Source organism: Homo sapiens, chromosome 15, assembly GCF_000001405.40.
Source record: "Homo sapiens chromosome 15, GRCh38.p14 Primary Assembly".
Taxonomy (NCBI): Eukaryota; Metazoa; Chordata; class Mammalia; order Primates; family Hominidae; genus Homo; species Homo sapiens.
In genome coordinates this window covers 50,650,572-50,674,997 of record NC_000015.10, presented here as the reverse complement: position 1 = coordinate 50,674,997, position 24,426 = coordinate 50,650,572, and the positions used below count along the sequence as shown (strand labels likewise).

Sequence of the window (24,426 nt, the reverse complement as noted above, 5' to 3'; positions counted from 1 at the left end):
AATCTGTGAGTATGGGAGTGACACAATTTAAGTGACTTTTAGCAAATTGTTTGCTAAAGTTTTGGGTGGATTTGCCAATGAGAAACAACTCTGGTTTCCAGCTCTTGGAAAAAACCCAAAACTATGGGATGTAGTAGAGGGGATGATATATTCGAAGTGTTGAAGAACAAAAAAACAAAAACAAACCCATTATCCAAGAATACTGTACCTGGCACAGCTCTCCTTTAGAAATGAAGGAGATTTGAAGATTTTCCCAGACAAAAGCTCAGAGACTAGACCTGTGTTACAAGAAATGCTAACAGAATTTCTTCAAGCTGAAAGACAAGGTTGCTAATTAGTAACAAAAAGAATATGAAAAGTATGAAACTTACTGGTAAATGTAAATAGAGTTAATTTAGAATACTCTAATACCATAATGGTGGTATGCAAATCATTTGTATTTTTAGTATGAAGGTTAAAAGACAAAAACCATTAAAAATAATAATAGCAACAATAATTTGTTAAGGGATACATAGTACAAAAACATATACATTGTGACATCAGAAATTTATTAGAAACCAGGCACTGGCTGGGTGCCACGGCTCACCCCTGTAATCCCAGCACTTTGGGAGGCTGAGGCGGGTGGATCACCTGAGATCAGGAGTTCAAGAAAAGCCTGACCAACATGGTGAAACCTCATCTCTACTAAAAATACAAAAATTAGCTGGGCTTCTGGGCATGGTGGCTCACGCCTGTAATCCTAGCACTTTGGGAGGCCGAGGCAGATGGATCACTTGAGGTCAGGGGTTTGAGACCAGCCTGGTCAACATGGTGAAACCCCATCTCTACTAAAAATACAAAAATTAGCTGGGCGTGGTGGCAGGTACCTGTTATCTCAGCTACTCCAGAGGCTGAGACAGGAGAATCGCTTGAACCTGGGAGGTGGAGGTTGCAGTGAGCCGAGATCATGCCATTGCCCTCCAGCCTGGGCGACAGAGTAAAACTCCATCTCAAGAAACAAAACAGAAAACCAGAATGCAATAATACCACCTTATTCCAGCAAGAATGGCCATAATACATAAAACAACAAATAATAGACATTTATGTGGATGTGGTAAACAGGGAACACTTCTACACTGCTGGTAGGAATGTAAACTAGTACAACCACTATGGGAAACAATGTGGAGATTCCTTAGGATACCATTTGATACAGCAGTCCCACTACTGGGTATCTACCAGAGGAAAATAAGTCATTATAAGAAAAAGATACTTGCGTACGCATGTTTATAGCAGCGTAATTCATAATTGCAAAAATGTGGAACCAACTCAAATGCCCATCAAGTCAACGAGTGGATAAAGAAACTGTGGTATATATATATATATACGAGGGAATACTTCTCAGCCATAAAAAGGAATGAATTAATGGCATTCACAGTGACCTGGATGAGATTGGAGACTCTTAATTCTAAGTGAAGTAACTCAGGAATGGAAAACCAAACATCATATGTTCCCACTCATAAGTGGGAGCTGAGCTATGAGGACGCAAAGGCATAAGAATGACACAATGGACTTTGGGGACTCAGGGAGAAAGGGTGGGAAGGGGGTCAGGGATAAAAGACTACAAATAGGGTGCAGTGTGTACCGGTCGGGCAATGGGTGCACCAAAATCTCACAAGTCACCACTAAAGAACTAACTTATGTAACTAAACACTACCTGTTTCCAATAACCTATGGAAATAAGTAAAAAACAATAAAAATAAAAAATAGTATAGGTGTATAAGGCATTTACTGTGAATGGAGCTTGTGGACCTGGAAGTTGTTCTGGGCGAGTCAGTGAGTGAGTGGTGAGTGAATGTGAAGGCCTAGGGCATTACACTTATGTAGACTTGATAAACACTGTACACCTAGCCTACACTAAATTTATAAAAAGTATTTTTTTATTCAATAATAAATTAACGCTAGCTTACTGTAACTTTTTAATTTAACAGATTTGTAAACATTTTAAAACTTTTTGACTCTTGTAATAACACTTCGTATAAAACACATTGTACAGCTGCATAAAAACATTTTCTTTATATACTTATTCTATAAGCTTTTTTTTTTTTTTTTTTTTTTTTTTTGAGACAGAGTCTCACTCTGTCACCCTGGCTGGAGTGCAGTGGCTCACTGCAACCTCTGCTTCCCTGGTTCAAGCGATTCTCCTGCCTCAGCCTCCTGAGTAGCTGGGATGAGAGGCATCCGCCACCACACTTGGCTAATTTTTATATTTTTAGTAGTGATGGGGTTTCACCACATTGATCAGGCTGGTCTCGAACTCGTGACCTCAGATGATCCGCCTGCCTCAGCCTCCCAAAGTGCTGGGGTTACAGGCGTGAGCCACCGCACCTGGCTACTTTTTTCTATTTCAACATTTTAAAATTATTTTACTTTTTAAACTTTTTGTTCAAACCTAAGGCACAAATATACACGTTAGCCTAGGCCTACACGGGGTCAGGATCATCAGTAGAATTGTCTTCCACCTCTCATCTTGCCTCATGGAAGGTTTTGAGGGACAATAACATGAATGGAGTTGTCATTTTCTATGATAACAGTGCCTTCTGGAATACTTCCTGAAGGACCTGCCTGAGGCTGTTTTACAGTTAAAAAAAAAAATAGGTAGGAGTGGCCGGGCGAGGTGGCTCACGCCTGTAATCCTAGCACTTTGGGAGGCCAAGGTGGGCGGATCACGTCACGAGGTCAGGAGATCCAGAACATCCTGGCTAACATGGTGAAAATGTCTCTACTAAAAATACAAAAAATTAGCTGGGTGTGGTGGTGGTTGCCTGTAGTCCCAGCTGCTCAGGAGGCTGAGGCAGGAGAATGGCGTGAACCCGGGAGATGAGCTTGCAGTGAGCCAAGATCATGCCACTGCACTCCAGCCTGGGCGACAGTGAGACTCCGTCTCAAAAAACAAAAACAAAAACCAACCAAACAAAAATAGGTAGGAGTACACTCTAACCATAAAAAGCGTAGTCTAGTAAATACATAAATCAGTAACATAGTCATTTATTATTACAAAGTATTATGTACTGTACATAGTTGTATATGCCATACTTCTATGTAACTGGCAGTGCAGGTTTGTTTACACCAATATCAAAACAAATACCCAAGTAGTCCTGGTGCTATGAACTTATGATGGCTGCGATGTTAGTAGGCCATAGGAATTTTTTTTTTTCGAGACAAGTTCTCTCACCCAGGCTGGAGTGTAGTGGCGTGATCATAGCTTACTTTAACCTCAAACTCCTGGGCTCAAATGATCCTCCCACCTTAGCTTCCCAGGTAGCTGGGACTATAGGCAGGCACCAACATGCTTGGCTAATTAAAAAAAACTTTTGTAGCGACAGGATCTCATTATGCTGCCCAGGTTGGTCTTGAACTCCTGGCCTCAAGCAGTCCTCTCATCTCCTCCTCCCACGGCAAGGTGCTGGGATTACAGGTGTGAGCCATTGCACCCAGCCTGCAATAGGAATTTTTCAGGTCCATTATAATCTTATGGGACCACTGTTAAATATGCGGTCCATCATTGACCTCAGTGTTGTTATGTGGCACATGACAGTATGCACAAAGGAATATCATTCAATCTTAAAGAAGGAAATTCTGTTTTTTGTGACCTGGATGGGCCTGGAGGACATTATGTTAAGTGAAATAAGCCAGGAACAGAAAGACAAGATACTACATGGTCTCACTTCTGTGTAGAATCTAAAAAATTGAACTGATAAAAGTTCAATTTCTGGATGGAGAGTAGAATGGTGGTTATCAGGGACTTGGGTGGGGATTGCTGGGGAAATGTTGGTCAAAGGATGCAAAATTTCAGTTAGGAAGAATAATTTCAAGAAATCTTCTGTACAACATGGTGACTACGCTAAATAACAATGTATTTTTGAAAAATACTAAGAGTATATTTTAAGTGGTCTCACCACAAAAAAATAGTATGTGAGGCAATGTATATGATAATTAGCTCGATTTAGCCATTCCGCAATGTATAGTAGCCCCCTTTTATCTGGTCTCAAATTCCTGAGCTCCAGCAATCTGCCCCCATTGGCCTCCCAGACTGCTAAGATTACAGGCAAGAGCTACTGCACCTGGCCTACTTAATATGTTTTGACACGTTTTGGCACAGAGTTGTTGATAGTATCCTCTTATTATTTTCTTGCTTTTTTTTTTTTTTTCTTTTTCTTTTTTTTACAGTAAAGTGAAGGCAAGTTTATTAGGAAAGTAAATAAACAAAAGAATGGTTACCCCATAGGTTGAGCAGTCCTGAGGGCTGCTGGTTGCCCACTTTTATGGTTATTTCCTGATTATATGCTAAGCAAGGAGTGGATTATTAATGAATTTTCTGGGAAAGTGGTGGGCAGTTCCCAGAACTGAGGGTTCCTCCTCTTTTTAAACTATATAGGGTAACTTCTGAATGTTGCCATGGCATCTGTAAACTGTCATGGTGCTGGTTAGAGTGTCTTTTAGTATGGTGATACATTATAATTAGCATATAATGAGCAGTGAGGAAGAGGTCTACTCTGTTGCCATCTTGGTTTTGGTGGGTTTTGGCTAGCTTTTTTAGTGCAACCTGTTTTATCAGCACAGTCTTTATGGCCTATATCTTATGTTGGACTCCCATCTCATCCTGTGACTTAGAATACCTAACCTACTGGGAATGCAGCCCAGCAGGTCTCAGCCTTATTTTACTCAGCCCCTATTCAAGATGGAGTCACTCTGGTTTAAACACCTCTGACGTTTCCCCCCTTCTTTTATAAGAGAATCCTTCATCCTAAGGGTTGTAGAGGGATGAAGATACACCTTTTGTAACCTCTTCTTGCTGAATGGGGTGATGATATTCCTGCCTAACTATTAAGGTCTCTTGTGTCCGTGATAGAGAGGCACTCATTCACAACACATCAGTTTGCTGAGGGCCATCCATAACTCAGAGTTCTGACAAAACATGATATCTGAAAGATTAATAAGTGTTTAATAAAACATTCAGTAAGCTTATCCTGCATTCCTATACAAAGAGTACAACAGCAATGTATTCCATAACAGTAAAGCAAAATAAGTAAAACTGTCCCAAGTAAACTAAATTAGAAGGCTTTCCATGAACTGGCAACTGTTGGAACCATGCTGATAAGGGATCGCTGATTGTATTATGTGCCCAGAATTAGAATATTGATCCAGATTTTTACATTAGCCATCCCTTTTTTTTTTCCTGGACTTCAGTCAGAGATCACTGATTGGTTCACAGGAGAAAGCAAGGTCAGCCTAAATTGCAGGAAAAAAACTCAAACAACTGATGAGACTAGAATCTACTGACAGGTATACCATAGTTCTTGAAACACAATTTTTTCTCACTCCAGTGTCCCATTTTTACTAAAGACAAGTTATAGTATGACCGATTTGCTTTGTTATACTTGGCCAGATTATTTGTATAAAGTGCAGCAAGAATAATTATATAGGCTTTCGAAATTGGCTTTGATGGAACTCTGTTCCATAAGGAATCTCCGATAAGACTTTTAAAACCGAGCCCAGCATGGATTTTTTTTTTCCTTTTCTTTTTGAGACAGAGTCTCACTCTGTTGCCCAGGCTGGAGTGCACTGGCATGACCTCGGCTCACTGCAGCCTCCATCTCCTGAGTTCAAGTGGTTCTGCTGCTTCAGCTTCCTGTGTAGTTGGAATTACAGGCACACACCACCACGCCTGGCTAATTTTTTGTATTTTTAGTAGAGATGAGGTCTTGGCCAGGCTGGTCTCGAACTCCAGACCTCAGGTGATCCACCTACCTCAGCCTCCCAATGTGCTGTGATTACAGGCGTGAGCCACCACGCTCAGCCATGAGCCACTGCGCCTGACCTCAGCTGTGGGTTTGTACCCTCAAATACCTTTATGTATTGGGTAAATTTCTCTCTTCTTGAGGTCCCAAGATAACTTGGGGCTCCTGGGCCTGTCAAAAAGTGACATTCTTAACTTATCACAGGTCAGGAACCCTGTACAGGGACTGCGTAGACAAGATATGAGGCCAGTTTTCCCAAGCAGCTTTTAATTGGCTCTACAAGTCAAGTTTGATTCCTTTAAGGAGAGCACATCATTCCAGTCAAAGCCTTGGTAAAATAACCAGTTTCTCCAATTGTGTCCTGTCACAAGAGAAAACCGATTCTTACTGCACTTATACAAATATCTATTGTAGGCCAGGCATGGTGGCTCATGCCTGTAATCCCAGCACTTTGGGAGGCTGGGGCAGGTGAATCACTTGATGTCAGGAGTTTGAGACCAGCCTGGCCAACATAGTGAAAACCTGTTTCTACTAAAGATACAAAAAGTAGCTTGGTGTGGTGGCGGGCATCTGTAATCCCAGCTACTTGGGAGGCTGAGGCAGGAGAATTACTTGGACCCCGGAGGCAGAGTTAGCAGTAAGCTGAGATCATGCCACTGCCCTCCAGCCTGGGCAACAGAGCAAAACTCTTTGTCTCAAAAAACAAAAAACAAAAACAAATCTATTGCCATAAGTTAAGAGTACTCATAAATAGTCTCCAAATTGAGAAATGGGGTAGAGAGAAACAAATATGCTCCAAATTTTGTCCACAGGAGTATACTTTACTCAATTGTTAATAGCTGTCAATAGCTCAAATCCTTGACTGCAAAACAAAATAAAGGATCAGCGACGTTTTAAGCAAAAAAGTAAAAAAGATGAGTCTTACATTAATTCAGTCCATGAAGTTAACTCCTGTTTGATACACGTGAACATTCCAGCCCTCCATGACAGTCCTGAATGTTTTTTCCTTTATTCTAATGTTAGAGTCTCCAAAGTTATCAGAAACCTGCATTTAAGAGCACCTGTGAAAGTCCTATAGCTGATTATAAACCACCTTTCGAAGAGGATCAAAACATGACAACAGTTGTATGTTGATGACAAAAAGTCTTAGGACAGCCATAGTCAAAGACACGATTGACAAAGAATTTTGGTTACCTTTGTGGCACACAATAATTTAACATAATAATCATAATTACTGCTGATAAGGTACATTGAATCATATCAGAATTATAGGAGCTTTTCATAATTTTGGAACACATACCAATAACATATTTATACAAATGCAACCCAAAGAAAGCCAAACACCATTTCATATTTGGCAATGCTTCCTGTATGATTTTTATGTCAATAAGCCAAATTTCACTGTTGGACTAGTGCATTATTGATATGTGAAACCCAGTTCTTAATAAAACCTTATAGACAAATTGATCCAATTTTATTTTATTATTTCTTATTTAAATATGTTTTTTTGGAGGGGGATGGAGTCTCCTTCTGTTGCCCAGGCTGGAGTGCAGTGGCACAGTCTTGGCTCACTGTTACCTCCACCTCCTGGGTTCAAGCGATTCTCCTGCCTCAGCTTCCCTAGCAGCTGGGATTACAGGTGCAAGGCACCATTCCCAGCTAATTTTTTGTATTTTTAGTAGAGGTGGGGTTTTACATGTCGGCCAGGCTGGTCTCAAAACTCCTGGCCTCAAGTGATCCGCCCACCTTGGCCTCCCAAAGTGCTGGGATTACAGGCGTGAACCACTGTGCCCGGCCAGCAGCTCTTATTTTTAAACCAGTTAATCAAAGCTCTTTCATATCATACACACACAACACATATAAATACATAGGCGGGAGATCCATCAGTTGTAAGGTCTTTCATTTGCCAATTTCTTAATTGGATTACTGGCTTCAAGGTAGAGCCCTTGGAGGAACAGGGCGAGGAAAGCGTTCAGTTTCTAGGGCCTAGTAATCAGGCACAGCTTCTAGGGGGCCAAGAGCATGTTTCTCTGATCCAGACATGCAGAGAGCTGTGTATTTCCCCATAACTGCCATTAGACACCCCCAGAGTCGGCCAATCAATGCTGCAGTCTATTTCCTTTGGGTTGGGGGTCTCCTCAGTATCATCCCTTTATGGTTTGCCAGAAAGATGTTACCAGAAAGGGGTCCTGATCCAGACCCCAGGAACAGGTTCCTGGATCTTGTGCAAGACAGAATTTGAGGCGAATCCATACAGTAAAGTAAAAGCAAGTTTATTAGGAAAGTAAAGAAACAGAAGAATGGCTACTCCAGAGGCAGAACAGCCTGTTATTTTCTTCTTTATCTTTCAATTACCTTGTATCTTTTCAGTCTTACTATTACTTGTGCTGCCACCTCCACCGCCTCTTCTTTTTTTTTGGAGACAGTTTTTGCTCTTGTTGCCCAGGCTGGAGTGCAATGGCACGATCTCGGCTCACCATAACTTCTGCTTCCCAGGTTCAAGCAATTCTCCTGCCTCAGCCTTCCAAGTAGCTGCGATTATAGGCATGCACCACCATGCCTGGCTAATTTTGTATTTTTAGTAGAGACAGGTTTCTCCATGTTGGTCAGGCTGGTCTCGAACTCCCAACGTCAGGTGATCTGCCCGCCTCAGCCTCCCAAAGTGCTGGGATTACAGGTATAAGCCACTGCACCCGGCCTCTTTTTCTTTTTCCTCTTCCTCTTCGTTTTCTTCTTCCTCTTCTTCCTCTTCCTCCTCTTCTTTCTCCCTTCTACCTTCTTCTCCCTTCTCTCATTCTGTCACCCAGGCTGGAGTACGGTGGCATGATCACAGCTCGCTGCAGCCTCGAGCTCCCTGGGTTCAGATGATCCTCTGGCTTCAGCCTCCTAAGTAGCTGGGTCTACAGGCACGTGCCATCACATGCTTGGCTAATTTTTTGTATTTTTCGTAGAGATGGGGTTTTGCCATGTTGCCCAGGCTGGTCTCAAACTCCTGGACTCAAGTGATCTGCCTGGCTTCTTGTTCAGTCTTGATAAAGGTTTACCAATTTTGTTAACCTAAGAACCAACTTTTAACTTTTGCTTATCTTGCTGTTTTATTAAAATCTGTTTTACTGATTTTTTTCTTTAATTTTATTTCTTTCCTTTGACTTTATTCTTTCAATATGTTTTTAAAGTCCGAGAGTTAGCTCATTAATTTTCAGCCTTTTTTTTAAATTATTATTTTTTGAGAGAGAGTCTCGCTCTGTTGCCCAGGCTGGAGTGCAGTAGCACGATCTGGGCTCACTGCAAGCTCTGCCTTCCACGTTCAAGCAGTTCTCCTGCCTCAGTCTCTCGAGTAGCTGGGATTACAGGTGCCCACCACAACACTCTGCTAATTTTTGTATTTTAGTAGAGACGGTTTTCACCATGTTGGTCAGGCTGGTCTTGAGCTCCTGACCTCAAGTGATCTGCCCACCTCGGCCTCCCAAAGTGCTGGGATTACAGGCGTGATCCACTGTGCCTGGCCCAGCCTTCATTTTTAAATGTAATCACTTAAGCCTATACATTTTCCTATACATGCACCATTTAGACTACATTGTACAGGTTTTCAAGTGCATAGAATTTTCACTATTATTCACTTCTAAGAATTTAAAATTTTTAATTATGAATTTTTATTGGATCCTCAAGTTATATAAAGTGTTGAATGTTGGTGGTTTAAAATTTTTATTTACATTATGTTAATTGCATTGTGATCAGTGAGTATGATCTGCCAGATACCCAGTGTCTGAAATTTGTTGAATCTTATTTTATGGTCAAGCACATGATCAATTTTTTTTTTTTTTTTTAGACAGAGTTTTACTCTTTTCACCCAGGCTGGAGTGCAGTGGCATGATCTTGGCTCACTGCAATCTCTGCCTCCCGGGTTCAAGCAGTTCTGCCTCAGCCTCCTGAGTAGTTGGGATTACAGATGTGTGCCACCACACACGACTTATTTTGTACTTTTAGTAGAGACGGGTTTCACCATGTTGGTTAGGCTGGTCTCGAACTCCTGGCCTCAGGTGATCCATGAGGCCTCCTAAAGTACTCGGATTGCAGGTACGAGCCACTGGGCCTGACCCATGATTAATTTTTATAAATGCCTCATGTGTGCTTGAGAAGAATGAATGGATCTTCTGTTTCTAATATACAGAAACATGCGTATATTTATTAAATGAAGCTTGTTAACATGTTGTTAAAATCTTTTAAATATTTCTGCTGATTATTTATTTATTTTTAAGACAGGGTCTTGCTCTGTCAACGAGGCTGGATTGCAGTGGTGTGATCTTGGCTTACTGCAGCCTTGACCTCCCAGGCTCAAGTGATCCTCTCACCTCAGCCCCCTGAGTAGCTGGGACTGACTATAGGTGTGCACCACCACACCCGGCTGACTGTTTAATTTTTTTGTAGAGATGGAGTCTCACTGTGTTACCCAGCTGGTCTTGAACTCACAGACTCAAGCCATCTTCCTGCCTCCCAGAGTGCTGGGGTTACAGGCGTGAGCCACCATGCCTGGCTTCTGCTGTTAGGTTTTGTTTGATTGACTTTTCAGTATTGAGGGAAATGTGTTAATCTTCTGTGAGCCTAGATTTGTCTAATGCTACTAATTTTTTCCCTTTATGTATTTTGAAACTTTTATTTGGTTAATCATATTTAAGATTATAATAGCAATCTGGCAGATTTAACGTTTGTAATAACCTTCTCTATCCCTATTGATGTGTTGTACCCATTTTTCTGACACTATTTTTCTTCTAATTAGAATTTGCTTTATGTCTTTTTATTCCTGTATCATTAACCATTCCATGCCCTTATGCTTTAGGTATTTATATTAGAAATGGAATGTAGCTGGGTTTTATTTTTTATCAATCTATCACTTTTTTTTTTTTTTTTTTTTGAGACGGAGTCTTGCTCTGTCGCCAGGCTGGAGTGCAGTGGCGCGATCTCGGCTCACTGCAACCTCCGACTCCCTGGTTCACTCCCTGGTTCAAGCGATTCTCCTGCCTCAGCCTCCGGAGTAGCTGGGATTACAGGCACACGCCACCACACCCAGCTAATTTTTGTATTTTTAGTAGAGACGGGGTTTTACCATGTTGGCCAGGATGGTCTTGGTCTTCTGACTTTGTGATCCGCCCACCTCAGCCTCCCAAAGTGTTGGGATTATACGTGTGAGCCACCGCACGCGGCCAAATCTGTCAATTCTAATTGTCTTTTTTTCAGGTTTTTTTTGCTTTGTTTTTTGAGACAGAGTCTCTCACTCTTTCACTCAGGCTGGAGTGCAGTGGCCTGATCATGGCTGACTGCATCCTCAGCCTCCTCGGCTTAGGCGATCCTCCTGCCTCAGACTTCCAAGTAGCTGGGACTACAGGAGCACATCACCATACCTGGCTAATTTTTTAGCTTTTGGTAGAGATGGCGTTTCACCATGTTTTCCAGGGTAGCCTTGAATTCTGTCTAAAAGGATCCTCTCACCTTGGCTCCCAAAATGTTGAGATTACAGGTGTGAGCTACTGTGCCGAGCTAGTTGTCTTTTAAATGGCTCATATCCCAGAATAATACCAGCCCCTCTTAAGGTTTTTGGTTCGTAGTGGGAATCTCAAACTAGGCTTCCCTCCTGTTTGACTATTTGAAGCAATAGTATCTACACAGTACTGTTGATTTAATAACCTAGGTCACTTGGGATTTAAATGGAATTATTCTGACGTTTTGGGGTGCCATCCTCAGATTATGGTATGTAGTGAAAAGTAAATAAAAAATTATGTAGTATAGAAGTGTTTATGGGCCGGGCACGGTGGCTCACGCCTGTAATCCCACCACTTTGGGAGGCCGAGGCAGGCAGATCACCTGAGGTCGGGCGTTACCAGCCTGACCAACATGGAGAAACGCCATCTCTACTAAAAAAATACAAAATTATCTGGTCGTAGTGGCACATGCCTGTACTGCCAGCTACCCGGGAGGCTGAGGCAGGAGAATCACTTGAACCCGGGAGGCGGAGGTTGTGGTGAGCCAAGATCACACCATTGCTCTCCAGTCTGGGCAACAAGAGCAAAACTCTGTCTCAAAAAAAAAAAAGAACTGTTTATGTGTTTATCATGAAATTGTTTCCTTCTTATTTAGTGGGTTAACTTATAAACAATTCTTTAAAACATTTTGTTTTAGTCCCAGAAATCCTGGATAGAAAGCACTTTGACCAAGAGGGAATGTGTATATATTATACCAAGTTCCAAGGACCCTCACAGGTAAGCACACCTTTGTTACTTCTGGGGTCTTCTAGAAATTTTAGTGTAAATTATATTGTTATTTCTTTATTGGAAACAAAAACCACTAAATAAATTATTTGTACTTACTGTTACTTTTTATAATTACTGTTAATCATTTAATTTGGGAGGGATTGGGAGGAGGAAACAGCACTGAAATCAGTATTTTGGAGTTCTTAATGCCATTTACAGCATACAATCTCTTCCTTGAAGTGTTCCTCCATCTCTAAACTCCCTCAGATCATAGTGTAGTGTTTTACAAAGGTAAGGCAGTTAAGACTCTCTTATTTTTTAATGGATTCACTGATATTGGGAACTTAAATTTGTGTATCTATTGGGCATCTACTGGGTATCCAACACTATGGTTCATGTCGAAGAAAGCAATATGAACCTAATAATAGTCATTCTTTTTGTTTGCCAATATATAGATACAGATCATTATTTACTGGAAAATCTATTATCAGAGACTATAGGTGTCTGTGTCTTTGGTCTCTAAGATGGCTTTGATAATAGAAAAAAATTAAAGGACATTAACTTAGTAACTGAAGAAAAAGTTGAGCTCATGAAATATTTACTTAAACATTTTTGCCAAAATTATTCTTTTTACCTTTTTTTTTTTTTTGGAACAGAGTCTTGCTCTGTCGTCCAGGCTGGAGTACAAGCTCCCTCCAGGGTTCAGGCCATTCTCTTGCCTCAGCCTCCCGAGTAGCTGGGACTACAGGCATGTGCCACCACAGCCGGCTAAATTTTTGTATTTTTAGTAGAGATGGGGTTTCACCATGTTAGCCAGGATGGTTCAATCTCCTGACCTTGTGATCCACCTGCCTTGGCCTCCCAAACTGCTGGGATTACAGGCGTGAGCCACCGCGCCCAGCCCTAGTTTTTGTATTTTTAGTAGAAACAGGGTTTTACTATGTTGGCCAGGCTGGTCTTGAACCCCTGACCTGAGGTCATCTGCCTGCCTTGGCCTCTCAGAGTGCTGGGATTACAGGTGTGAGCCACCGCACCCAGCAAATTTTTCTTTTTTCTGAGGCCTAAAGATAGAAAAAAACTTAAGGAAATCTAAGATATAGTTATTTCCTAACCTATAGAGCACTTTTCTTCATGGGCACTTAGAAAAAATGAAAATTAATTGACAAAAGTATTTGCAAGATTTTTGAATCTTCCTTCCTTTTCCGTCTCCTGTCACACTGTGTTCTCTACCCATTTACCTTCTCTGCAACTTTCATTTCTGTTAGATATATAACTCTTAGAAAAACATAGCTAAATAGACAGTTTTTACTAACTGATATCTCTTTATATTATAGAATATGTCACTATTCTTGTTTATAGTGGATATGTAGTAAATATTTGTTGAATAGCATTTCCAAAAATTTCTCTTTATTTTAACATTTTAAAAAATTCTTAACTTTGAACGGATCTCTCACAACAAACACATTTCCATTGAAAGTGTAATGTATATGATACATTTAAAAAACTTTTGAGAAACAAAGTTGAAGCAATACGTAGAGTTTCAATACATTAAGACTGTCATTATTAATAACATTTGGTGGCTTTATTTTTAACTTTTTCTCAGTGTATTGCTTTTGTTTTAAAGTAGTGCTACATTCAGTCTATATGCAAAATGTACCTGCTTTTCATACTACAGATATTTTATAAGAATGGTAGTTAATAGGCCTGGTGCGGTGGCTGACACCTGTAATCCCAGCACTTTGGGAGGCTGAGGTGGGCGGATCACGAGGTCAGGAGTTCGAGACCAGCCTGGCCAACATGGTGAAACACTGTCTCTACTAAAAATACAAAAATTAGCCAGACGTGGTAGTGGGCACCTGTCATCCCAGCTACTTGGGAGGCTAAGGCAGGAGAATTGCTTGACACTGGAAGGCAGAGGTTGTAGTGAGCTGAGATCCACACTGCTGCACTCCAGCCTGGGTAACAAGAGTGAAACTCTGTCTCAAAAAAAAAAAAAAGGAATGGTAGTTAATATTCTGTTATTGTGTATACCACAATTTATATACCTGTTCTACTATTGGTCAATTTAGTTGTTTTCGATTTTTAGCCATTTAAAATTTAATTAGGCCACAATGAAGATCTTTGTGGATAAAACCTTTTTTATATTTAAGATTTTCCCCCCTTAGGTTATGTAATGCCAGAATCTTTTGAAAAGTATTAAAGGAATATAAATGATCACCCAGTAGTGAATGAGATTGTCTCCTTTACTGAGTAATGACTGGAGTAACATTTTCCATCACCATCAAGAAAACGTGATAAGTAGAAAATAGTATGTATATATTTTTAGGCTGGGCATGGTGGCTCATGCCTGTAATTCCAGCACTTTGGGAGACTGAGGTGAGCAAAGTCTGCCTTCCGGGTTCAAGCGATTCTCATGCCTCAGCTACCTGAGTAGCTGGGACTATAGGCATGCGCTACCACGCCCACTTAATTTTTTTTATTTTTAGTAGAGACAGGGGTTTCACCATGTTGGTCAGGCTGGTCTCGAGCTCCTGACCTCAGATAATCTGCCCGCCTCAGCCTCCCAAAGTGAGTCACCGTGCCTGGTATACATTTATTTATTTTTAGTTGACAGTAATTATAATAGTATATATTTTAAATTTGGATTTATTTATTATTGAGAAAATATTTTATGTTTTTTAAATATCCCTCAATTTTTTAATACATTCTGTAAATGTTTTTGATTAGTTCTTTTTGGATCATTAAAATAGATAACCTTAACATCTCTTCCAATCATTAGAGTCTATGATTTATTCTGATTTCTTACTACTTGTTAAAGATATGTTTTATTACAACATCGTATCACATTTCTCAACAAGAGGATAAATGACATTTCCCAAGTCACATGGCTATTCATAAAGATGGGATTAGTATTTAAGCCTCCTTAGTTCAGTGTGCCAGTTCTAAAATAAAATACCATTTTTCTTCCGGAGAAATTGATGTTTTGCTTTATTAAAAAAATAGATTTTGTTGGTCGGGTGTGGTGGCTCACGCCTGTAATCCCAGCACTTTGGGAGGCTGTAGGTGGATCACCTGAGGTCAGGAGTTCGAGACCAGCCTGGCCAACATGGTGAAACCGCGTCTCTACTAAAAATATAAAAACTAGCTGGGCGTGGTGGTGGGCACTTGTAATCCCAGCTACTTGGGAGGCTGAGGCAGGAGAGTTGCTTGAATCCAGGAGACGGAGGTTGCAGTGAGCTGACAAGGTGCCACTGCACTCCAGCCTCAGTGACAGAGTGAGACTCCATCTCAAAAAAAAAAGAAAAAATAGATTTTATCATTAAGGAGTTTATTTTCTATAGTTTTATTAATTCCACTTTGCAATAGAAATAATAAAAGCACTCAAGGTATTAAAGAAATCCAAAGCTGTTACTAAGTATCCCCACCTTTAACCATTCATGAGAGACATAATTTACAGTTAGCTCGTCACTTCTTTCTACAGTAGTTGAACTCTTAATTTTATATGAATAGGTAATTGACACTTGGTTCATAACTTAAAAGGTACCAAATGCTGTAAGTGAAAGTCTCCTTTCCAGTACTGTGCTTTAGCTATAAGTTTACCTTGCTAATAAAAAATCTGATGTTATCCATTCCTTGGAATGTCTTCCAGAAAGTTAGATATAGTCTTTGTATGTCCAAGCAGATGATTATCCCCCTTCCCCCTTTAAAATATATAGTGTAGCCCACTGTGACTGTAACTTATCTTGGCGATCACTAGTTTGTTCTTTCTTTTTTTTTTTTTTTGAGACGGAGTCTCGCTCTGTCATCCAGGCTGGTGTGCAGTGGCGTAGTCTCACTGCAAGCTCTGCCTCCTGGGTTCAGGCCATTCTCTTTCCTCAGCCTCCCGAGTAGCTGGAATTACAGGCGTGTGCCACCACATCTGGCTAATTTTTTGTATTTTTAGTAGAGACGGGGTTTCACTGCGTTAGCCAGGATGGTCTTGATCTCCTGACCTCGTGATCCTCCCGCCTCAGCCTCCCAAAGTGCTGGCATTACAGGCGTGAGCCACTGCGCCTGGCCACTAGTTTGTTCTTAATTGTTGCAGCCTATTTAATTATGTCTGAATTGTAATTTGTTTTAGTAATCTCTTATTGAACATTTTAGCTATTTTCACTTTCTTTTGGCTGTTAGGAAAAAAATTCTGCAGTCAACGACCTTGTACAATTTTCATTTTATACGTATACTACAGATGTGTTTTAGCCTATGCTTTTAGAACTGGAATTAGTGTGTGAGAGTCAACGTTTTTTATTTTGATGGGTATTGCCAAGTGGCCTTCCATAGGGATTATATAAATATATACTCTCACCCACAGATACCAGACTCTCTCTGTATTCTTGCCAAGATAATGTCTTTTTTTTTTTTTTTGAGACAGTTTCTCGCTCTTTCGCCCAGGCTGGAGTGCAGTGGGGCATGATCATGGCTCACTTTAGCCTCGACCTCCCATGCTCAAGGAATCCTCCCACCTCAGCCTCCCTAGTAGCTAGGACTATAGGCCTGCACCACTACCCCTAGCTAATTTTTTTTTTTGTAGAGACGGAGTTTCGCTTTGTTGCCCAGGCTGATCTTAAACTCCTGGACTCAAGCAATTCACCTGTGCCTCCCAGAGTGTTGCAATTATAGGTGTGGACTGTCTGCCAGGCGCGGTGGCTCACACCTGTAATCCTAGCACTTTGGGAGGCCGAGGCAGGTGGATCACAAGGTCAGGAGATCGAGACCATCCTGGCTAACACAGTGAAATCCCATCTCTAGTAAAAATGCAAAAAAATTAGCCGGGCATGGTGGCAGGAGCCTGTAGTCCCAGCTACTTGGGAGGCTGAGGCAGGAGAGTGGTGTGAACCCGGGAGGCGGAGCTTGCAGTGAGCTGAGATTGCGCCATTGGACTCCAGCCTGGGCAACAGAGCGAGACTCTGTCTCAAAAAAAAAAAAAAAAATTGAGACTGTCAGTTAAAAAATAGTTATTTGAATTATAAATCAAGGTATACGTGAACTATAATATCTACTGAAAAATTAAACTAGGTATATAATTTTTTTTGTTTTGTATTTTATGTATTTTATATACTTTAAAATCAGAAAGTTTTTCACCTGAAATAATTTATTTACCTTTTTGTGTTCAATAGATGCCTTCCAGGATGTCAAATTTGTCAGCAACTCGTCAGGTAAGTTTAACATAACTATACCGCACAAATTTCGGAAAATAAATAAAACTAATCTATTAGAAATATGAGTTAGAACACAGTGGCATGAAACTCACATGCTATTATATTTGATGGGTACTTTACCTAGACTTGGAAGGTGAAGGGTCAGTCAAGGCTGTTTGAAACTCAGGTGAAGCTACCTAAGAAGAGTTGTAAAGTTGTGTCTGTTGAGCAGAAGTTGAAGGACAGGAATTTTAGGCAGCGAGAGCAGTGTATGGGAAGGCCTGATAGTGAAAGACATCATGGTTCTGTCAGGAAACTGCAGAATGTAAGATGGAGATTTGAGAGATTTGGGCCTGGAAAAATGAGAGTTTCAGTTACTCTACAAGGCTTTTTGTTGCACATGCTTTTGATTTCATGTTAAAAGGATATTGTACAGGCAATTAATAACATGCTATATTAGTATTATTATTATTTTGAGACGGAGTCTTGCTCTGTTACCCAGGCTGGAGTGCAGTGGCACAATCTCGGCTCACTGCAACCTCTGTCTCATGGGTTCAAGCAATTCTCCTGCCTCAGCCTCCCGAGTAGCTGGGATTACAGGCATGCGCCACCATGCCCGGCTAATTTTTGTATTCTTAGTAGAAATGGGGTTTCACCATGTTGGCCAGGCTGGTCTTGAATTCCTGACCTCAGGTGATCCACCCGCCTCGGCCTCCCAAAGTGCTAGGATTACAGGTGTGAGCCACCAGGCCCGGCTGATTTTATTTTTTGTAAGAGCAGTTTGCATTTTTAGATTGGATTGGAAGAAAATAGACCAGTTGCTAAAGTTTTAGAGTGACTCTGGCAAAAAGATGAGAACCTGAAGTAAGATGTTTTTGACAATGAAGAGAAGTAGGCATATTTGAAGGGCTTAATGAGATAAATGCAATAGGATTTGGTGAATGTGAAGAAAAGGGAAGATTTGAGCATGGTAACTACATTTCCTTCTTAGGCAACTGAGTAAATTGTAATATGCTTTAGGGTCTGATGAGGAAGTATAAGAGGAAGAAGAGAAGGTCTCTGGGTGGTAGGCTAGGAATAAAAGTACATAGAATGGGTTTATTTTAGATATATTGAAGAGTTTTTCAAGGAAGTCTGTAAAAACAAAAACAAAAAACCTGACAGGCTGGATGTGATGGTTCGCGCCTGTAATCCCAGCACTTGGGGAGGTTGAGGCAGGAGGATGGTTTGAGCCTAGGAGTTTGAGACCAGCCCGGGTAGCATAGTGAGACCCTGTGTCTACCAAAAAAAAAAAAAAAAGAAAACCACACACAAAAATCTTGGCATGGTATCATGTACCTGTAGTCCCAGCTACTTAAGAGGCTGAAGCAGGAACATCATTGGAGCCGGGAGGATCGTTTGGGCCTGGGAAGTTGAGGCTGCAATAAGCCCTGATCACACCACTGCACTCCTGCCTGGGCAACAGAGCAAGACCCTGTCTCCAGAAAAAAAAACAAACAAAAAGACCTGACAGTCTTTCATATTTGCCCCTGTACTTAACCATCTCCAGTCCTTTTCATTTCTTCTTATAGATGGTGAGGTTCCATCTGGTGTCTCTTGTTTGACGATGCCAAAGAGTTTCTTTTATTTAGCATTTCATATAGTGCAGCTACACTGAACTGAACATGAATTTTCTCAGTTTGGTCTATCTGAAAATATATTTCTTTTATTTTCATGTTTGAAGAATGTTTTCACTGGATATAGAATTCTGGGTTGTGTTATTTTATTGCAGCAGGGGTTTTTTTTTTTTGTTTTTTTCTTTTTTTGAGATGGAGTCTTGCCCTGTTGCCCAGGCTAGATGGCATACAGTGGTGCGATCTCAGCTCACAGCAACCTTTGCCTCCCAGGTTCAAGTGATTCTCCTGCCTCAGCCTCCCCAGAAGCTGGGATTACAGGCACACACCACCATGCCTGGCTAATTTTCGTACTTTTAGTATAGATGGGGTTTCACCATGGTGGCTGGGCTGGTCTCCTGACCTTGTGATCTGCCTGCCTTGGCCTCCCAAAGTGCTGGAATTCCAGGCGTGAGCTGTTGCGCCCAGCCCATTGCAGCACTTTAAAGGTGTCATTATTTTATCTTGTAGCTTTTGTTTCTAATGAGAAGGCAGCTGTAATACAGTAGTTGTCTTCCTGTGTGGAATGGGTCTTTTTCTTCTCTAGCTACTTTAAATATTTTTTTTTTCTATTCCTTTGGTTTTCAGCAGCATGTCTATAATATGCCTGAGAGTGATTCTCTTTGTACTTATTCTGCTTGCGTAAATATTTGCACGTTCAAATTTTTTACCTGATTGAGAAGGTTTTTTGTTTTTTTGTTTTTTTTTTCCTTTGAGATGGAGTCTTGGTCTGTTGTCCAGGCTGGAGTGCAGTGGTGCGATCTTGGCTTACTGCAACCTCTGCCTCCCAGGTTCAAGCAATTCTCCTGCCTCAGCCATCTGAGTAGCTGGGATTACAGACGCATGCCACCATGCCTGGCTCATTTTGTATTATTAGTAGAGATGGGATTTTACCTTGATGGTCAGGGTGGTCTTGAACTCCTGACCTCGTGATTCGCCCGCCTTGGCCACCCAAAGTGCTGGGATTACAGGCGTGAGCCACTGCATTTGGCCAGGAAGTTTTTTTTTTTTAATTAACTTTTTTTTCTTTATCTGATGTATTGAATAATTTCTATTGATGTCTTCAGGTTCACTCTTATTTCTACATTCTCCATTTTGCTGTTTTGTCCATCCAGTGAATTTTCTTTTCTTTTTTTTTTTTTTTTTGAGACGGAGTGTCACTCTGTCGCCCACGCTGGAGTGCAGTGGCGCAGTCTCAGCTCACTGCAAGCTCTGCATCCTGGGTTCATGCCATTCTCCTGCCTCAGCCTCCCGAGTAGCTGGGACTACAGGTGCCTGCTGCCACACCCGGGTAGTTTTTTGTGGTTTTTTTTAGTAGAGATGGGGTTTCACCTTATTAGCCAGGATGGTCTTGATCTCCTGACCTTGTGATCTGCCCGCCTGTAATCCCAAAGTGCTGGGATTACAGGCGTGAGCCACTGCGCCCAGCCCATCCAGTGAATTTTCATTTCATACATTACATTTTTCAGTGCTAGGATTGCTATTTGATTCTTTGTTATAGTTTCCATTTTACTGCTGAGATGCACCATGTGCACTCTCATTATGACTGTCTATTCCTGTATGCCCTTCAGCATATTTATAATACCTGCATTAGAGTCTTTGTCTACTGATTCCAACATTTGCATCATTTAGGGTCTGTTTCTGGTGACTGCTTTTTTTCCTTCATCTTTTTTATATGTCTAGTATTTTTTTATTTTTTTGAGATGGTGTCTTGTTCTGTTGCCCAGGCTGGAGTGCAGTGCTGCAATCTCAGCTCACTGCACCCTCTGCCTCCCGGGTTCAAGCAATTCTCCTGCCTTAGCCTCCCGAGTAGCTGGGATTACAGGCGCACACCACCACGCCCAGCTAATTTTTTATATTTTTAGTAGAGATGGGGTTTCACTATGTTGGCCAGACTGGTCTGGAACTCCTGACCTCAGGTGATCCGCCCGCCTTGGCCTCCCAAAGTGCTGGGATGGTGTGAGTCACTGCACCCGGCCAATAATTTTTTATCATATATTGTTGTTCTGGAGTAAATAATTTTCCTGTAAGGAGTGTTCAGTTTCTTTCTGACAGGTGATTAAATTAATTTTTGATAGATTCTTTTGTCCATTCAGGTTTGATTTTCTTCTTTGTTAGGGCAGTTCTACTTCTATTTTGAACTTAGTCCTAGGATGTGGACCTTCCTCTTAAGGTATAGCTTTTTTGTGTTCTCAATTGAGTGTTCAGGGGGTTCAGTGATGTCTTTTCACGCTGAACTAAAACTGCTATGTCTTCCAGACCTTTAGGACCCCGTTCACAGACCCACACACAGCAAGTGATTACTGCTAGGCATCACAGAATCTCTCACAGATACACCTTAGACCATGGCCAAAGACCCATGGTGAATCCCCATGTGAGATTTTTTTCCTTCTTGTCTTTATAGCTCCCTTTTCTCTGGTAACTCTGCTACAAATTCCAACTGTTTCAACAGCCTAGAATTCTGTTCTCTACTTCCTTGCTTGGCCCAGTGTCTACTGTTTTCTGCCTAGGTGTCATCTCTATGATTGAGAAATTGCCCCCAAGCTGGTGCAGTCATGGGGGTTTACCTCATGTGTTTCCCTCATTTCAAGGATCACAGCTTCGTGTTTCTTCTTGTTTAATGCCTGAAACAGTTATCTCATATATTTTGTTCACATTTATGTCAGGAATCTCCGAGACCACACCTAGATTCCATGATTAGCTAGAATGAATCACAAGACTTAGCATGTAGTGGTACTCTTGATAAGATTTAATAAGTATTATGTTATCTGTTGAGGAAGTTTCCTCCTTTCCTAGTTTGCTGACAGTGCTTATAATGAACAGACATTCAGTTTTGTCCAATGCTTGTTTTCCTTTTTGTGGAGAACGGGGTCTCACTATATTGCCAAGGCAAGTTTTGAAGTCCTCGGCTCAAGCTATGCTCCCACTTATGCCTCCTTAAGAGCTGGGATTGCAGGTGTGAGCCACCACGTCCGTTTCTTTTTTCTTTTTGGGGGGAGTGGGGAAACAGGGTCTCACTCTGTGGCCCAGACTGGAGTGCAGTGTCACAGTCACTGCAGACTTGACCTCCCGGGCTCAGGTGATCTTTTCCCTTTAGCTTCCCAAGTAACTGTGACCACAGGTGCATGCCACCATGCCTGGCTAATTTTTGTAGAGAAGGAGTTTTGCCATGTTGTCAGGCTGGTCTTGACTCCTGAGCTCAAGTGATCCTTCCACTTTGGCCTCTCAAAGTGCTGGGATTACAGGCACGAGCCAGTGTGCCCGGCCTAGTCTTTTCTTGTAATGCTAATGCTTTGCCTTTTTTTCTTTTTTTGAGATGGAGTTCCTTTTGTTACCCAAGCTGATCTAGAACTCCTGTCCTCAAGCAGTCTTCCCACCTCAGCCTCCTAAGTAGCTGGAATTACGGGCTGGTTTTATTTTGTTTTTGTTTTTTTCCAAAGCAGAATGAGTCTCACCTCATGAAATGAATTGGGAAATGTACCCACTTAAACGATTTTTTTGGAAGAACGTATGTAGAATTTATATTTCCTCCTAAATGTTTGATGAAATTCACCAGTGAAGGCATCTGGCTTTGAATTTTCTTTGTGGAAAGGTGTATTAATGATTTTTTTTTTTTTTTTTGAGACAGAGTCTTGCTGTATTGTCCAGGCTGGAGTGTTGATTTATTTTCCTGTTCAGTTTTTCTCATTATTCTGACTTCAGTTTATCAATTTTATTTATCTTTTCAATGACAAGCTTTTTGTTTTCTTGCTTTCCCCCACGATTTTTCTCTTTTCTGTTTCATTGTGTTCTTTTTTTTTTTTTTTTTTTTTTTTTTTGAGATGGAGTCTCACTCAGCCAGGCTGCAGTGCAGTGGCATGATCTTGGCTCACTGCAATCTCCGCCTCCCAGGTTCAAGCAATTTTCATGCCTCAGCCTCCTCAGAAGCTGGCATTACAGGCGCCCACCACCACACCCGGTGAAGTTTTGTATTTTTAGTAGAGACAGGATTTCACCATGTTGGCCAGGCTGGTCTCGAACTCCTGACCTCAAGTGGTCCACCCGCCTCGGCCCCCTGAAGTGCTGGGATTACAGGCATGAGCCACCGCACCCGGCCCATTCTGTTTTCTTTATCATATCTTTTCTTCTGCTTACTTTGAGTTTAATTTGCTGTTATTTTTAGTTTTTAAGGTAGAAGTTTAGGTTATTTTTTAAATGAAATTTTTAAAACCTTTATTTAGAAAATTATTATTTTATTTATTTATTGTATTTATTTATTTTGAGAAGGAATCTTGCTCCGTCGCCAGGCTGGATGTGCAGTGGCGCGATCTCAGCTCACTGCAACCCCCACCTCCTGGGTTCAAGTAATTCTGCCTCAGCCTCCCGAGTAGCTGGGATTACAGGCGACTGCCACGACGCCCAGCTTATTTTTTATATTTTTAGTAGAGATGGGGTTTCACCATGTTGGTCTTCATCATGCTCATATTCTTTTCCCACAGTCTTCTTTTCTTTAATTTTTTCTTTAATTTTTTCGTTTAGAGACAGAGTCTTACTATGTTGCCAGGCTAATATTGAATTCCTGGGCTTAAGCAATCCACCTGCCTCGGCCTCCCAAAGTGCTGGGATTATAGGCATGAGCCACCGTGCCCAACAAGCATGGTCTTTCTTTAAATTTTTTTTATTTTTATTACAGACGGGGTTTCACTGTGTTAGCCAGGATGGTCTCGATCTCCTGACCTCGTGATCCACCCGCCTCGGCTTCCCAAAGTGCTGGGATTACAGGCGTGAGCCACCACACCCGGCGTCAAGCATGGTCTTAATAGTTGGAGCTCATTTATAATACTTGTTTTTGTGTCATTTTCTGATAATTCCATCATCTCGTTCTTTTCTGGTCTTCATTTAGTGATTTTATTTTATTGATAGTTTTCTGCTTCTTTGCATGCCTCAGTATTCTTTGAAATTTTTATTTATTTACTTTTTTGAGACAGGGTCTCTCTGTGTCACCCAGGCTGGAGTGCAGTGGCACCATATCAGTTGACTGCAACCTCTGCCTCCTGGGCTCAAGCAGTCCTCCCATCTCAGCTTCCCAAGTAGCTTGGACTACAGGCGTGCATCACCACGCCCGACTAACGTTTGTATGTTTTGTAGAGATGGGGTTCACCATGTTGCCCGGGCTGGTCTAAACTCCTGGGCTCAAGCAAACTGCCGGTCTCCATTTTCAAAAATACTAGGATTACATGTGTGAGCTACCACGCCCGGCCAATGTCTGGGAATTTTTCATGCATGCTGACAATAGTGAATTTTATGTTTTTGGTTACTGGCATTTGTTGTATTCCACTAGCGAGTTTTAGACTTGCTATAGCATGCAATTAGATTACTTTGGATCAGTTTGATCCTTTCAGGTCTTGCTCTTAAACTTTGTCAGGGCATGGGCTGTCTAGGTCTGATTTTTTTGTTTTTTTTTGTTTTTTTTGAGACCCAGTCTTGCTGTGTTGCCCATCCTGGAGTGCAGTGGCACGATCTCGGCTCACCACAACCTCTGCCTCCCAGGTTCAAGCGATTCTCCTGCCTCAGCCTCCTGAGAAGCTGGGACTAC

At 41.4% G+C, this 24,426-nt stretch overlaps 2 protein-coding genes across 6 annotated transcripts in view; both read left to right on the top strand.

Moving 5' to 3' along the window:
* TRPM7 (transient receptor potential cation channel subfamily M member 7) overlaps nucleotides 1-24,426 on the top strand; it is a 129,640-nt gene that overhangs the window by 11,800 nt on the left and 93,414 nt on the right. For all 5 annotated transcript variants that reach the window (NR_149154.2, NR_149152.2, NR_149153.2 and 2 more), the window contains exons 2-3: nucleotides 11,952-12,031; nucleotides 17,179-17,217. Coding sequence is in view for 2 of the 5 variants with exons in the window: in NM_001301212.2 (NP_001288141.1) it covers nucleotides 11,952-12,031; nucleotides 17,179-17,217 (119 nt within the window). In the remaining 3 variants the exon portion in view is untranslated. The remainder of the gene's footprint in view (nucleotides 1-11,951; nucleotides 12,032-17,178; nucleotides 17,218-24,426) is intronic.
* LOC128092252 (uncharacterized) overlaps nucleotides 1-24,426 on the top strand; it is a 37,916-nt gene that overhangs the window by 11,720 nt on the left and 1,770 nt on the right. The window contains exons 2-3 of the mRNA NM_001414947.1: nucleotides 11,952-12,031; nucleotides 17,179-17,217. Of these exons, the coding sequence (NP_001401876.1) occupies nucleotides 11,952-12,031; nucleotides 17,179-17,217 (119 nt within the window). The remainder of the gene's footprint in view (nucleotides 1-11,951; nucleotides 12,032-17,178; nucleotides 17,218-24,426) is intronic.